The sequence below is a fragment of the Homo sapiens genome, chromosome 6 (genome assembly GCF_000001405.40).
Source record: "Homo sapiens chromosome 6, GRCh38.p14 Primary Assembly".
In the NCBI taxonomy this organism is placed as follows: domain Eukaryota; kingdom Metazoa; phylum Chordata; class Mammalia; order Primates; family Hominidae; genus Homo; species Homo sapiens.
The window spans coordinates 34,124,574-34,138,679 of record NC_000006.12 but is presented as its reverse complement, the minus strand read 5'-3'; the positions used below and the strand labels follow the sequence as shown (position 1 = coordinate 34,138,679).

At 54.1% G+C, this 14,106-nt stretch overlaps 1 protein-coding gene across 4 annotated transcripts in view, besides 2 other annotated features; it reads left to right on the top strand.

Moving 5' to 3' along the window:
- GRM4 (glutamate metabotropic receptor 4) overlaps positions 1 to 14,106 on the top strand; it is a 136,980-nt gene that overhangs the window by 16,943 nt on the left and 105,931 nt on the right. For 3 of the 4 annotated variants that reach the window (NM_001282847.2, NM_001256811.3, NM_000841.4), the window contains exon 2: positions 4,821 to 5,702. The exons of the other annotated variant lie outside the window; for it this stretch is intronic. Coding sequence is in view for 2 of the 3 variants with exons in the window: in NM_001256811.3 (NP_001243740.1) it covers positions 5,184 to 5,702 (519 nt within the window). In the remaining variant the exon portion in view is untranslated. The remainder of the gene's footprint in view (positions 1 to 4,820; positions 5,703 to 14,106) is intronic. 4 annotated transcript variants of the gene reach the window in all.
- Positions 5,814 to 6,108: a silencer, noted in NCBI's record as "tiled region #15272; HepG2 Repressive non-DNase unmatched - State 10:DNaseD, and K562 Repressive non-DNase unmatched - State 12:CtcfO". NCBI's record gives its function as "represses a minimal TATA promoter and a strong SV40 promoter by Sharpr-MPRA in HepG2 and K562 cells {active_cell/tissue: HepG2 | K562}" and the evidence as "EXISTENCE:reporter gene assay evidence [ECO:0000049][PMID:27701403]".
- Positions 6,316 to 7,142: an enhancer, noted in NCBI's record as "NANOG-H3K27ac-H3K4me1 hESC enhancer chr6:34099315-34100141 (GRCh37/hg19 assembly coordinates)". NCBI's record gives its function as "activates a minimal SCP1, AML or CMV promoter by ChIP-STARR-seq in primed H9 embryonic stem cells {active_cell/tissue: H9 hESC(primed)}" and the evidence as "EXISTENCE:reporter gene assay evidence [ECO:0000049][PMID:30033119]".

Here is a 14,106-nt window from a genome sequence, read left to right as displayed (position 1 = left end):
CGCACAGTGCAGCTGGCAGGGGTGGCACAGTTCTGACAACCCGATTCCTGTCCTGTCCTACAAACCACACCTCTGCCCAGCCAGTGGGGGCCCGGATGGATAGCAGAGGGGTCACAGAGCTGAGGGGAGGGGAGAGGCCTCCAGTTCTCCCTCATTTCCCCTTTGGGGCAGTGGCGCTGCCATCCCCCTTCTGGGAGATGTGGGATGTGGGTGATGAGGCATCTAAACAGCTCAGGAATTGAAACCAGACTCCACACAGCCATTCACAATTCTAGAGCGCTCCTGAGCACCTGGGCTGGGTGGGCCCTGCAGAGACAAAGGTGAATGGAGATGAAGGAAGTGCTGGTGGGAACACAGGGAAGGTTGGGAGCTGAGAGGAAGGTGGGAGGGAGCTCTTGGCCTGGCTCTTTTTGCTGAACCCCAAGGGGCTCGGGCCTGAGTCCCCAAGCCCTTTTCCTATGGGAGCTGACCCTCAGAGGGCCAAGAGCAGGAACCAGGGACTCTGGCAATGACCCTGACCCTGGGAAACAAAGGACAAGGTTGTTCTCTCGATTTACCCTTTATTCTGGTGTTTGGGTTTTGTTCTATTTTCTTAGTTTTGGAAGAATAAAAAGAAACTCAATGAAAAATAATTGGGGGTTTGGTAAATCACAGCAGTTCTCTTCGGATCCGGTTGTTGTTTTGTGGTTTGTGGTTCTTTCTGGCTTGGGCCCTGGATGCAGAGGGAAGGATTGAAGTTGGAAAAGCACGAAGGTCCTGCTTGTTAATATTATACTAAGAAGAGGGCCGGGCAAAGTGGCTGACACCTGTATTCCCAGTACTTTGGGAGGCTGAGGCTGGAGGATCGCTTGAGCTCAGGAGTTCGAGACCAGCCTGGGCAAGCGACATAGTGAGATGTCATCTCTGCAAAAAAAAAAAAAAAAAAAAAATTATGTGGGCATGATGGCGCATTCCTGTAGTCCCAGCTGTTCAGGAGGCTGAGGTAGGAGGATCGCTTGAGCCTGAGAGGTTGAGGCTGCAGTGAGTCGTGATTGCACCACTGCACTCCAGCCTAGGCAACAGAATGAGACCCTGTCTCAAAAAAAAAAGAAAAAAAAGGGACTTAGAAGTGGCCACAAGGCAGGTTCCTGGAGTTCCTGCACAAAAGCCCTAGATAACAGAGAGGTCCCAGCTGGGATGTGTGGGGACTCCCCCATCCCCCTTACCCTGACTGTTGGTTGGGGAAAGGGGTAGTCTGCAGCTGTCCCCCACCAGCTCCCCTTACATCCCCATTCACTGGAAAGAATGTTCTGGAAAACACTGTTGGCCTGAGAGCTGTTGCTATGTGGAGGTGACCCAGTCGCTCTCATCCCTGCCCCTCAGGGCTCTCATTCCTCCATGCCTGGCTCTGTCCTCCCCTGGAACCAAGGAACCTAGTGGAGCCAGAGAAGAGGAGAGAGACTGGGAGAGGGTGGTGGGGAAGGGAGAAGGAAAGGAAAGGGGGAAGAGGCCCGTCTGGGGGTGGGGCCCACACTGGCTTGGACTCACAGTCATCCCGATGATTTCACCTGGGGAAGGATGCCCCTAACTGACCCAGGCTTGAGCTCTCCTGGCTATTTTGGAATTGGCGGGGGAGTGTCTGAAAACTGGGCAAGGACTTTAAAGAAGGACCCCTTCTATGTGCCCCCAGCTCTTCCCTCTGCAGAAGGAAGCAGGCCCTGCGGGGGAAGGGAGCATCCGCCTGGCCCCCACCCCAACCCACCCCACCACACCCTGCCTCTGCTCTCAGTGGCTCCTTTCACTCATGGGGTATTTTTACTTTTCCCTTGTTCCTGTTACATGATCAAAGGAGGGAGGGGAAGCTAAAAGAGGCAGTGGCTTGCCCAGCTCTCTGGAGAAGCTCAGAAAAGGCAGGCCTGGTGGGACTGAGGGGTGGATAGGGACCTGTGGGCAGGGGCTGGGACCCAGTCCTGTGGGAGGGAAGTCTCGCAGGGGATCTGACCAGCTTGAGGCTCCAGGCTCTTGATTCTAATCTGCGGGTGTTTGCCTTTCTCCTCTTGGAGGCCTCCTTCCCCCATGGCATCTGTCCTTCCCCGTGTGTGTGTGTGTGTGTGTGTGTGTGTGTGTGTGTGTGTGTCCGCACGCGCGCATGCACTGCTCAGCCCAGACGTGCTCCGGCCTCAAGGAGAAGCCAGTGTGAGCCCTCACGAAGGATCTGGAAGCCTAAGCAGGGCCTGACTTCAAAAGCTGCTGTGCATTGGTCTCCCAGCCTGAATCTGCCCTGCTGTAGCCCCAGCACACAGCCTGTCATGATGCCAAAAAGCCCTCTGTTTGAAATTCATGGAAACCGATCATAAACTCACAGGACCTTAGAACTGGCAAGGCCTGAGAGATCCTCTGGGCCAGCACAGAGGAGCAGCCAGGGGCACGGGCAGCCTGCACAAGCTCTGTGCCCCTGGCTAGATGTTGCTTAAGCACTTGGTGCCTTGGCTTCCTCATCTGTGAGATAGGGATAAAAATACCATGAAGCTCATAGGGATGTGGGGATTACATGAGAAAATGTAGGTAAAGCACTTAGAACAGTGCTTGGCACATGGCAGTGGTTGTCTTTTGCTGTGATTTCTCCACGAGGCACCGTCGGCATTTGGACAGGATGGTGTTTAACTGTGCAGGCTCTCCCACCCACAGCTGGCCAGTTAGCATCTCTGCCCCCTGCCTGCACACGGGCTAGTAGCCGACTCTCCTCCATCATTGCAACAACTGAAAATTTGTCAGCAGGGGCAGTATGGCCCCCAGATTGGATTTCACTCCAACTCACCCATTTTACAGATTTTCCTGAGAACTAGCAGGGATGTGCCTTATCTCTAGCTACTGCAGCAGGACCATGAGATTCGTCTATGGCTCTTATGGTTTCTCTCTTCTGAATTACCTGGTACTTGCATCAGCAACTCATACCCCACCTCCTGTCACTATGCATAGCCATCTAGGACAGAGATCTGATAAATTCATTCACAGGAAGGAATGAGTGATGATGACAGCTCCATACAGGTGCAGCTCCCCGCCTTGTATTTTAATGGCTCTTAAGCCTTCCTCAAAGCACTGGCCTTGGCCCCTAGTCCTAGGTCCCTGGCTCCTGGCTCCAGGGGAGAGGGTGGTATTATGAAACTTTCTGTCAGCTTCGCTGGGGCTTCCCAGTGTGGCTGACATGGCTTCTAGTCCTGGATGCATCTTGATTTGCTGTGTGACTTTGGGAGAATTATGTGATACCTCTGGGCTACCGGTTCACCTGCAGCATGGGGCCAGGGAGAATTAGTAGCCATATTCTTGGTTTCTGAGGAGGTAATATGAAGGGAGCATTTTGAGGAAGGGGTGAAATGTGAAATGAGGGTCTAGAAGGCTGGAGAAGCTCAGGAGCTGAGGCTGGACTCTGGGGCACTGCAGCTTCCTTCCCTCCCCTTGGCCCAGAACTGGAGCAGTCAGGGATTCTGTAGGGGGAATGACGGGGGAGGGATGACCCTGAGACCACGGCTTGGTCTTGATGGAGGGACCACATCTCTGGGGAAGCCTCGCAATCCCAACACAAGCTCCTCTTCCAACTGCTTGGGGAAACTGAGGCACAGAATGGACAAGTGGCTTGCTGGTCTTCATTTGACAAACCCCTGGGGAAGGGGGCCTTGGGTTTGGCCCCCAGCCAAGCCCTGACTCAGCTTCCATCCCTTCTCCCTGTGGCCTCCTAAGTGGTGGGGAGGGAGGTTGCTGGCTTTGAGTGGGGAGGCTGGGGTGAGGGAAGTAACCCCGGGGGGAAATTAGCCCAAATTAGCAGTGAGAATGAGGAAGGGCTGGTGTTCTCTTCTCTACTCTTGCAGATAAATATTTAATCACAACAACAATAATGATGATGATGATCTTAATAATGTGCCAGTAGCTCAGGCCATAACCCGAGCCCCGCTCTCAGAGGGAGGAAGTGGGGGTGGGGAGAAAGAGCAGTGGAGAGATGGAGAGATGAAGAAAGTCAGGGAGGGAGGGAGGGAGGGAGGATGTGCAAGCTGAATGGAGGCCTGCTCCTCATGCAGGGGCTGCTGGGTTTCCCCTGCTCTGCCTGGGGTAGCTGTGTAGCTGGGGTGGAAGCAGGAGAGTACAGGGTCCACCTTGCGCTCCCTGATTCAGGATGAAAATCCAGAACCCCCACAGCCTCAGCTCCTCCCTGGCCTTCCCTTGGCCTTCAGAGTGAGCAGCTCCCAGCCTACACCACTGCGTTCCAGGATGATTTCTTGAGGGGGCCTTATTTGTGTTCCTGGGTCTCTGAGTCCCGGAAGAGCCAAAGTGTCTCGGGTTCCAGAGCTGACAGCAGGAAAGCTGGGCTGCAGTAGGCATTGTCCAAGCTTTATCTGAGCTTGTAATTAAACTGCACACTCCCTGCGTGACTCAGGCAAAATGCTCTCCTGCTCTGGGCCTCAGTTTCCTCATCTCTGTAATGGGATTGGGCCCATAGGACCTGTTTCTTGCTCTCCTTCATGTGGATGTGTTGAGGAAGGCCCCTCTTCCTTCCAAGCCAGTTCGAGGCTGTTCCTGGGGATTGTGCTCTCTGATGCCCGGGCTACTGATAGCAGTGGGTACAGGCCTTAGGAAGCTTCAAACATGACCTAATTTCTGCCATACACTCTCCCATTTAAGCCAGATTTGAGCAATGGCGGAGAGGAAACCAAGTTCAGGAGATTTATGGAATCTTCGGCGATAACCTCTAGCATCTCCTTCTCTCAGGCTCCTGATGAGAGATGAGACTAGCTAATGTCTTCTTTGGGCTTCTGTTTGATATTCTCTCTCTCTCTTCCCCTTCTAAGGTTGGTAGGAGGAGAGGATTGGAGCTGTTTTCTCCTTGATGCCAAGATACGCCAAGCTAGGAGCATTCTGCCCTTTCCACAGTCATCCACCGAGAACAGGCCTGCAGGACGGGACAAGGATCAGAGCCTTCCTGCAACCCCGGCCACTGCCTGCTGTCTGTGGGCCTGGACTGTGCGGGCAACTGTGCTTGGCCCGAGTGACAAGGAGGTGGGAGAGGGTAGCAGCATGGGCTACGCGGTTGGCTGCCCTCAGTCCCCCTGCTGCTGAAGCTGCCCTGCCCATGCCCACCCAGGCCGTGGGGCCAGGGGCCTGCCAGGGCTAGGAGTGGGCCTGCCGTTCATGGGTCTCTAGGGATTTCCGAGATGCCTGGGAAGAGAGGCTTGGGCTGGTGGTGGGCCCGGCTGCCCCTTTGCCTGCTCCTCAGCCTTTACGGCCCCTGGATGCCTTCCTCCCTGGGAAAGCCCAAAGGCCACCCTCACATGAATTCCATCCGCATAGATGGGGACATCACACTGGGAGGCCTGTTCCCGGTGCATGGCCGGGGCTCAGAGGGCAAGCCCTGTGGAGAACTTAAGAAGGAAAAGGGCATCCACCGGCTGGAGGCCATGCTGTTCGCCCTGGATCGCATCAACAACGACCCGGACCTGCTGCCTAACATCACGCTGGGCGCCCGCATTCTGGACACCTGCTCCAGGGACACCCATGCCCTCGAGCAGTCGCTGACCTTTGTGCAGGCGCTCATCGAGAAGGATGGCACAGAGGTCCGCTGTGGCAGTGGCGGCCCACCCATCATCACCAAGCCTGAACGTGTGGTGGGTGTCATCGGTGCTTCAGGGAGCTCGGTCTCCATCATGGTGGCCAACATCCTTCGCCTCTTCAAGGTCAGTGCCTTGGTTGGTCCCCTGAGGTGCTCTTCCCCCAACGGACTCTGCCCGCCCCACTTCAGGGTGCCAGGCCTGGCCGACCAGCCCCTTTTTCCTCCTTTTTTCCTCACTCTAAGGGACAGTTTTTTCCTCAGAGCAGTGTCTGAGAATTTGGGGCAGCTCTTCCTGGTTTCAGTATGTTGTCTTGTGGTCTCAGCACAGGCACAGCAGATGAAAGGCATCGGGACCCAGCCTTGTGGCGCTGACCGAGGTGCTGAAACAGCACCTGCCGCTGGAGGCTCGGTGAGCAACTCCACTCCTCTCTGGGGAATTCTGTACCAGGAGGAAAAGGATGTTCTGGAGAACGACAGAGGGAGGAGGAGATAGGCAGACAGACAGATAAAAAGATACGCAGGTGGATAGACAGACAGACAGACAGATAAGAAGAATGGAAATATGAATGCTGGAGATTGCCAGGGAGAAAAAGCAAGACTTTTGTTTTGACACTGTTTTCATATAATTGCAATTCCCAAGAAAGATGTTTTTCTTCTGGGTAGTTGAGGAAGCTCCCTGTGGCCCTCCTGCCCTACCCGAGATTATGGTTGGAGAATGTGTCCTCATTTTTTGGATGGGGTGTGGGGCTGCTGAGCCTGCAGAGAATGCAGATGAGGACGGGAAAACTGAGGCCTGAGAGAGTAGGCGGTCTCTGTTTCTGGTGCCCTGGGCCCTGAACCAAGCTTCCCTCTGTGATTTCCTTCCTTCTGCCCTTCTTCCATGCACACCTTTCTCCCTTTCCTTCTGGAATCCCTCCCAGCCCCCTCCTTGCCGCCTCCTTTCCTCTCTTCCTGGGGCAAGAGCTGCTGATTTGCAATTCAATTGGAGCCAAGTGCTTCGCTAAGCTGCTAAAACAACTGAAAGCTACCGGGTAGAGAGAAAAACATTACAAGCATTTTACCAATAATTATGTGCCCGTTTCTCTCTTGGAGCCTGTCTTGTTTGCTCTGTGTGTGTGTGTGTGTGCATGTGTGTGTGTTTGTGCATGTTTGTGTGTGTAGGGAGGGGAGGAGAGAATGGGGAGAGGGAAGAGGAAGGGACACAGAGGAAGCTGCTTGGTCCCTCCCTCACCCTGGTGTCAGATTCTCGGCCTCTGGAGTTGACCTTTGTCTCCCCAAAGTCTCCAGGGCTAGGAAGTAGACTGAGAGAGGCTGTTTTGCACTAGGCACGGTGGGGAGAGCTGAGCCTGGACCACTCTCACCGGGACTCTTTCTGGAAGCCATTAGCCCACTTCCCATGATGCATCAGGACTTGGGGGCATGTCTGGGGGCCCAGGTAGAAGTGGAGATGAAGGGAAAGGATGGTCCCAGTGTTGGGGTGGGGGTGAGGAAGCTGGTGAGCGGGAGTGGCAAAGGGAGGAGGCCAGAGTTGTGCTGTCACAAGTCTGGGTGGGGCAGGACTTTTGCCATTGGCTGCTCTGGGGCTGAAGAGCACGTGTGCGCCCACCTGTGTATGCAGTCATGTCTCTGGTATGCTCTGTGGGCCTCGAATATAGGGCTTTTCCTGGAGTGTTGGTTTTACTTGATGAGTTGGATGAAAACACAATTTTAATTTTAAAGCAAATGGATGCATTATGAAGACTGCAAAATTTGTACATGGTTTTGTTTTTTATTTTTTTATGATCAGTGGTTGAACATGGATGTACGTAGTTTGAAGATGAAGCAGGAAACTTGAAAACATTTCTGCCCTCGCGGTAGGCAGCTGGAACAATCCCCGGGGGCTGTGTCGCTGTGATCATCTTTTGCAGTTCTTTGGCAGGATGGTTTGGGAATGGTAGCCTGGTTCAGTCCTCCCACCGCACCCAGTTTTATGGTGGGGACTGGAGACAAAAGGAGAGGAGGAGCTGGCTGGGCTGTCCCAGGCCAGGGCCTAGTGATGGCTCAGGCCAGATGAGTCATCACTTCAGCCCTCCTGGCCCTGGCCTGGGAGCTGAGGCAGCCTGGGCCATCCAGCAGAGGGGACAAGCCTTGGACTCCTCCTTGTCAGCCTGGCAGGGTGGGGCACAGATCCCCAGCCTCCAGGAAGGCCACCCCACAAGGGAGGCTGCTGTATTCTCTTTATCTGAGTTGTAATTAAACTCCTTTAGTGACTCTGGGTCTTTTAGAAAGATGGTAAAACAGCCTGGTCCAGCCCTTGAACCTGTGACATTGGTGAGGATCCCTTCCCCTGTTTTCCAGAGCGGAGTGAGTGCCTACTTTACAGGGAGGTGGAGAGGCCCAAAGGAGCTGAGAGTGCCCCATCACTTGGTACATGGCGAAGGCTCAAGGAATGGTCACTCAGAGTTAGGTCTTAAAGTGTGTTCTTGGGAACATAGATATTTTGAGATGAGACGCTCAGTGCCCCAGACAGGGGAGTGGGCTGCAGCTGCTGTGCTAACCTCTCCCAGCATGGGGAAGGGCCAGGGTGGGGTGAGGGGCCTGGGGTGAAGAGCCTTACCATCCTGGGGGTTCATGGTGTCCCCTGTTTGTCTGGCCACAGAGGAGCATGGTGTGGTCTCAGTTTGGTCTGTGCCTCCTCAGAACACAGGATGGAGTGGTTGGGGCAGGGGTCAGGAGCCCCTCAGGCTGCACAGAGAGCAAGGCAGGACCGGGAGGTAGAGACCTGGGGAGTGGAGAAGAAAGCAGGACAGCAAGGAAAGGGAGGGACAGCGGGGAGAAAACCAGCCGGCTGTGGCCTGCATTCCCTGGGTCCCTTTTAACAGCCTTAATGTTCCAGGCTGGTGACAAGAGGCCTCCTCAATAATTAAACTGATAGAAATGAGAGGCTGGGTGAGAAACTTAAAAGCCATTTACAGAAGCAAAAAGATTGAACTTTGGGGAGGGAGGTCGGGAGCAGGAGCCTCGGGAAGGAGAGGGTGAGGGAGGGATGCCTTGGGGGAGGGGACCTGCGCCCACCACCAGGTGTCCATTTCAAAGGGCACCACTGCAGCCCCCGCCCTGCTCCCCTAATGATGGGTTAATGTGGCCTGCTGGGAACTTGGCACCAGAGGCTGTGATGATAGCTTTCCTTCCTGCAAGAGGTGGACTTCCGGTGCTTGGCTCAGAGGGGAGCCCTGGGTGTGGGGGCACTCAGGTGATTTCCTGCATGGAGAATGCTAATGGAGTGCAGTCAGGGTCAGGATATGAGCAAAACTCACAAGGCTCAGAGCTGGAAGGGGCCAACCTCTTGCTCTAGAGATGTGGAGGCTGAACCCTGATAACATGACAGGGCAGGGCTCAAAGCCGGGTGCCCTCTCCCAGGCCTGACTCCTGGGAGACTGCCTGCTCAAGAGACAGCTGAGTCAGAAGTGGGACTTGAACAGGCCTCTGTTGCGGACCAGAAGGCCTGACTCTGGGAACTCATAGGTCTGACAGCTTCTATCCCTAACTTCCCTGCTCCCACCCCTTCCTTCATTTGCAATTTGTCCCATTCTTTCAGGACAGGGGTGCTGATGGGTGTGAAGAATACCTTTTGGTGGGCACCCAAGCCCAGTGGTTGTAGCCTGTACAATGCACTGTTGTGGGCCCAGCCCAGGTTGTGGAGAAAGTCAGGCCTGGGTTTGAATCCCTGATCCACTAGTTACCTCACCTCCACTTACCATGTCAGTTATTTACACCATACTGTGAATGAGCCCATAAGACCTTTCTGTGGCTGGCGCAGTGGCTCACACCTGTAATCCCAGCACATTGGGAGGCCAACGCGGGTGGATCACCTGAGGTCAGGAGTTCGAGACCAGCCTGGACAACATGGTGAAACCCCGTCTCTACTAAAAATACAAAAATTAGCCAGGTGTGGTGGCATGTGCCTGTAATCCCAGCCACTCGGCAGGCTGAGGCAGGAGAATCACTTGAGCCCGGGAGGCAGAGGTTGCAGTGAGCCGAGATCGCACCACTGCACTCCAGCCTGGGTGACAGAGTGAGACTCCATCTCAAAAAAAAAAAATACCTTTTCCTGAAAAGTCATTGTTCGGGGGAGGAAGAGCAGACTGGAGACACCCCCAGAGGGAAGCAGTTTCCAAATTCTGTACCTGTAAGAGCTCAGGGGGATCCAGAAATAATTTCTTTGAGTCTTTTATTCATTTTGCAGTGGAAGAAGCTAAGGCTTGGAGAAGGGGGCGCTGCACAGCATGGGGGTAAGCATTTGGACTCTGGAGCCAGGCAGCCTGAGGTCTGACCACCCTGGCAAACTGCTTAACCCTTCTCTGCCTCAGTTTCCTCATTTGTAAAATAGAGATGATAATGGTGCCAGCCTCATAGGACAGCACGGGGATTAAAAATTAAGGTCCAGCTAGGTGTGGTGGCTCACGCCTGTAATCCCAGCACTTTGGGAGGCTGAGGTGGGCAGATCACTTGAGGTCAGGAGTTCGAGACCAGCCTGGCCAACATGGTAAAACCCCGTCTCTACTAAAAATACAATAATTAGCTGGGCGTGGTGGCAGTTACCTGTAATCCCAGCTACTTGGGAGGCTGAGGCAGATGAATCGCTTGAACCCGGGAGGCAGAGGTTGTAGTCAGCGAGATCCTACCATTGCATCCCAGCCTGGGCGACAAGAGCGAAACTCAGTCTCAAAAAAAAAAAAAAAAGAAAAGAAAAAAAAAAGAGTTAAGGTCCAAGAAGGCCTAGCATGGTGCCTGGCACACAGTCAGCCCACAGGAAATGTCACAGCACAGCTTGTAGCTGGGCCTTAAGTCAGCATGAGGGACTCCGGCGATGCGGAAGAGGATGGAGCGGGCAGGCAGCGACAGACGGTGACCTTTAAGGCTGATCCCGGAGAGTTCCCCACCATCTGCTGGGCCTCTTGCGTCTTCCTGCCACGAGTGCAGCACTCAGTGTTGAGACCGAGCAGACAACTTAACTTTGAGTAATGAGAATTTCTTGCTATCACGAAATGGGGCATGGGAAGGGGGAGCAGAGGTGGCCTGTATGTGCCACCCCTAGCCTGGCGGTGTGAGTTCCCTCCCCTCGTCCCATGTTGGGCTGCATGTGCCCCCTGGGCTCTTGGCTGCTTCTGGAGCCGGGGCTATGGGTGTGGCCCTGGGGGAACACTGTCTTAGATCCCACAAGATGTTCTGTCGAGGACGTGGCTTTGTGTCTTTATGTGTTTTCACTACACAGCCAGGAGGAACTCTAGAGAGAGCCCACCCACCCTACTGCACCCATCTTGACCAGGCCAAGGAATCTGGAGGCATTTTTGACCACCGTCTTTCTGTTCGTCAGCTCACCCTGCAGGCTCCACTTTCAGAACTTGTCCTGGGCATGACAACTCCTCACGGCCTCCATCCCCATAGTCTCTTACCCAGCCCATTACAGAAGCCTGGTCTTTCCTCTCCCTGCCTCCAAATGGCCTCTCCACAGCCAAACCTTCACTCAGCAGCCGGAGAGATCTTTCTAAAACCCAGATGGAATCCACTCAACCCTCTGCTTAAACCTTTTATTGGCTTCCCGTTGCTCTTAGATTAAAATGTGAACTCCTTTCCTGTCTGAGAGGCCCTGTGCTACCTGGTGCCCCTGATGTCCCTTTGTCTCTCTGGGCACTGCCCACACCAGTCATACTGTTTTCTTTATGCTCCTTGAAGACACCATGCTATTTTCCAACTGCAGGGCCTTTGCACCTGCTTGCCTTGCTGTCTGGAGTCTTCTCTTCCCACTCTTTGAAGCTGGATCTTTCTCATTCAGCCTTGAGCTTAAATGGCCTCTCTTCGGAGAAGCTCCCTGGCCCCTGGCTATTCTGTCTCTTTCCCTGTTCTTTTCCTTGATGGCGCTCATCACAGTTGCAGTCATGTACACATTTGTTTTCCTTTTTGCTATTGAGTTCCCCTCTAGCCCAGGGGTTAGCAAACGATAGACTAGGAGCCAAATCTGGCCTGGTTTTGTACAGTTCATGAGCTAAAAAAGGCCTTTATGTTTTAAAGGGTTGAAAAACAAAATACAAAGAAAAATAATGTCATGATACTGGAAAATCATATGAAACTCAAATTTCTGTGTCCATAAATAAAGGTTTATGGGAACACAGTCATGCCGATTCACTTGTGTCTTGTCTAGGGCTGCTGTCAAGCTACAAGCACAGAACTGAGTAGAGGAGACAGAGACAGAGCTGGCCCCCGCTAGGCTCTACGCCCCACCCATAGAACTCCCAGCTGATGCAGGCAGACGGTGGCCCTCAGGAAACCCTCGCCAAATGGACTCATGGAGGGATGGGGAATGGGAGGGAGACCTCTGCAGCCCCCATGTCTGCAGCAACAGCTGGGCTGGTCTTGGGAGCTGAAGTCTTGGGAGCTCTCTGCGAGCTCCTGGCTGTGGGGATGGGTGTGGCTGGACCTACCTTACCATTGGGTCAAGCCAGTGCCCACTAGTGCCCACTACTGGTGGTATCCAGGGTCACCTGGATATGTTTCTTCCCCTCAAAACACCTTCTCCAGGTCCCCACTGACTCAGGGAATTCCTTTCACCTAAAGCTTTGCTCCTAGTCAGGGGGGATTGCCATGTACCATTTTAGGCTGTCATTAGAGATTTGTCCCAACAGGGCTTGCTCTGTAAATGTTGGGGGTGGGGGCTGAACGAGGGACCCTCTCTAAGAGGTGACTGAGGTGAAATAATTGGAACATTTACATAGCACTTACCCTGTGCCAGGCTGGTCCTAACCCTCATAGCAACCCCAGGGGCAGGTATACAGTTGTTATCCCTATTTTGCAGAACTGAGAACTAAGGCACAGAGAAGCTAAGCAACTTGCCCAAGGTCACACAGCTAGTAAGTGGTGGAGCCTGGATTTGAGCCCAGGCCATCTGGCCCTGAATCTACCTTTTTTCACCACTCTGCTCTCCTGCTTCTTGACCACCAGCTAGGGGTGGGTTTGAGACCTGGCCTGATGCTTACTTACTGCATGGCCTCTACAAGCGTCAGTTTACTCGCCTGTGAAATGGGTGTGATGATACCCAGCTGGCAGAAGCGATAATGTGCCCAAAGCCCTCAGGAGGTGCTCAGGGGAGGCTAGGGATACAGAATAGGATTCAATAGATGCTGGAGTGCTCGTGAGGTGCTGGGGATGGAGAGAAAGGGTTGTCCGAAGTAGGTCTTGCTGAGGGTGACTGTCAGGGGCAGTTCTCCTGAGGGGAGGGCAGAGAAGCCCCCTGCCGAGATAGTCTCTCTTTCCCCCAAACCCCCACTGTGGTGAGAGCCTGGGAAGGGGAACCTCCAGACCAGAGCCAGGCCTGAGCCTGAATAGAGAGGGGAAGGGACGTGGAAGGAGGGGAACCCTGGCATTGGGCAGCCCCAGGAGCCCTGAGGGGAAGCTCAGAGCCCCCGTGGCTACTGGCAGCCAATCCTCTGCGTGCCCTTGGGCAGGCCCTTCCCTGTGGATTGGGGCCAGTGGGGCAGAAGTTGCTTTGCTCTAGTTGCTCTCAAGCCTAGCAGCTTGTCACAGTCATGGGGGAGTTCGGGGAGCATTGGATTCCTGGATCCCCAGCAGGTTGATAAGACTGTGAGCCCAGGGTCTTTTTTTGGACACCTAGTAGCCTCAGCTGGCCACTGACCCAGATGCCTCGAGTCCTTGGTTTTCTTCTCCAGGGAGCGCCCCACCCACCCTGCAGTCCTCTCAAGCCTGCTTCCTCCGAGGGGAACCCTGAGGTATGGGGGGTTTGGAATGGAGGCAGGCAGGATGTCAGCTTTAGCGTGCGGTGACTGGATGGGCAAACAGGCTCATTCCTGCAGAGTTAAAAGGTAAGCGTCCTTTGGGAAGCCAAGGCGGGCGGATCACGAGGTCAGGAGATCGAGACCATCCTGGTGAACACGGTGAAACCCTATCTCTACTAAAAATACAAAAAATTAGCTGGGTGTGGTGGCGGGCACCTGTAGTCCCAACTACTCAGGAGGCTGAGGCAGGAGAATGGCGTGAACCCGGGAGGCGGAGCTTGCAGTGAGCAGAGATAGCGCCACCGCACTCCAGCCTGGGCGACAGAGCGAGACTATGTCTCAGAAAAAAAAAAGTAAGTGTGGAGGCCTTTGGGGGCCTCTGGGAAGACCTCCTAGAGAGGCTCCTGGAGCCCAGGTAGGAGCTGATGGGGCCTCTGGATGTGATGCATGGCATTATGGAAGGGCTGAGGTGAAGGCTGAGTCTAGGGGGGGGTCCTCAAGTTCATGAGTGCTGGCTTCTGGCTTTCTGTCTCCCATCTGGAACTCACTTTGTCCATCTGTAAAGAGTCATGCATTTATTTGTTCATTTACTGAACCTACTGGCCATCTCCATGCCCGGCACTGCTAGAGCAGCGGTCCGTCTCAGCTGCACATTGGAATCACTTGGGGAGTTTAGAGAAGCCTCATACCCCGGCCCACCTCAGGAATTCAGATTTAATTGAAATTGGGCCTGGGCTGCCCGAGTGATGACAGGTGCAT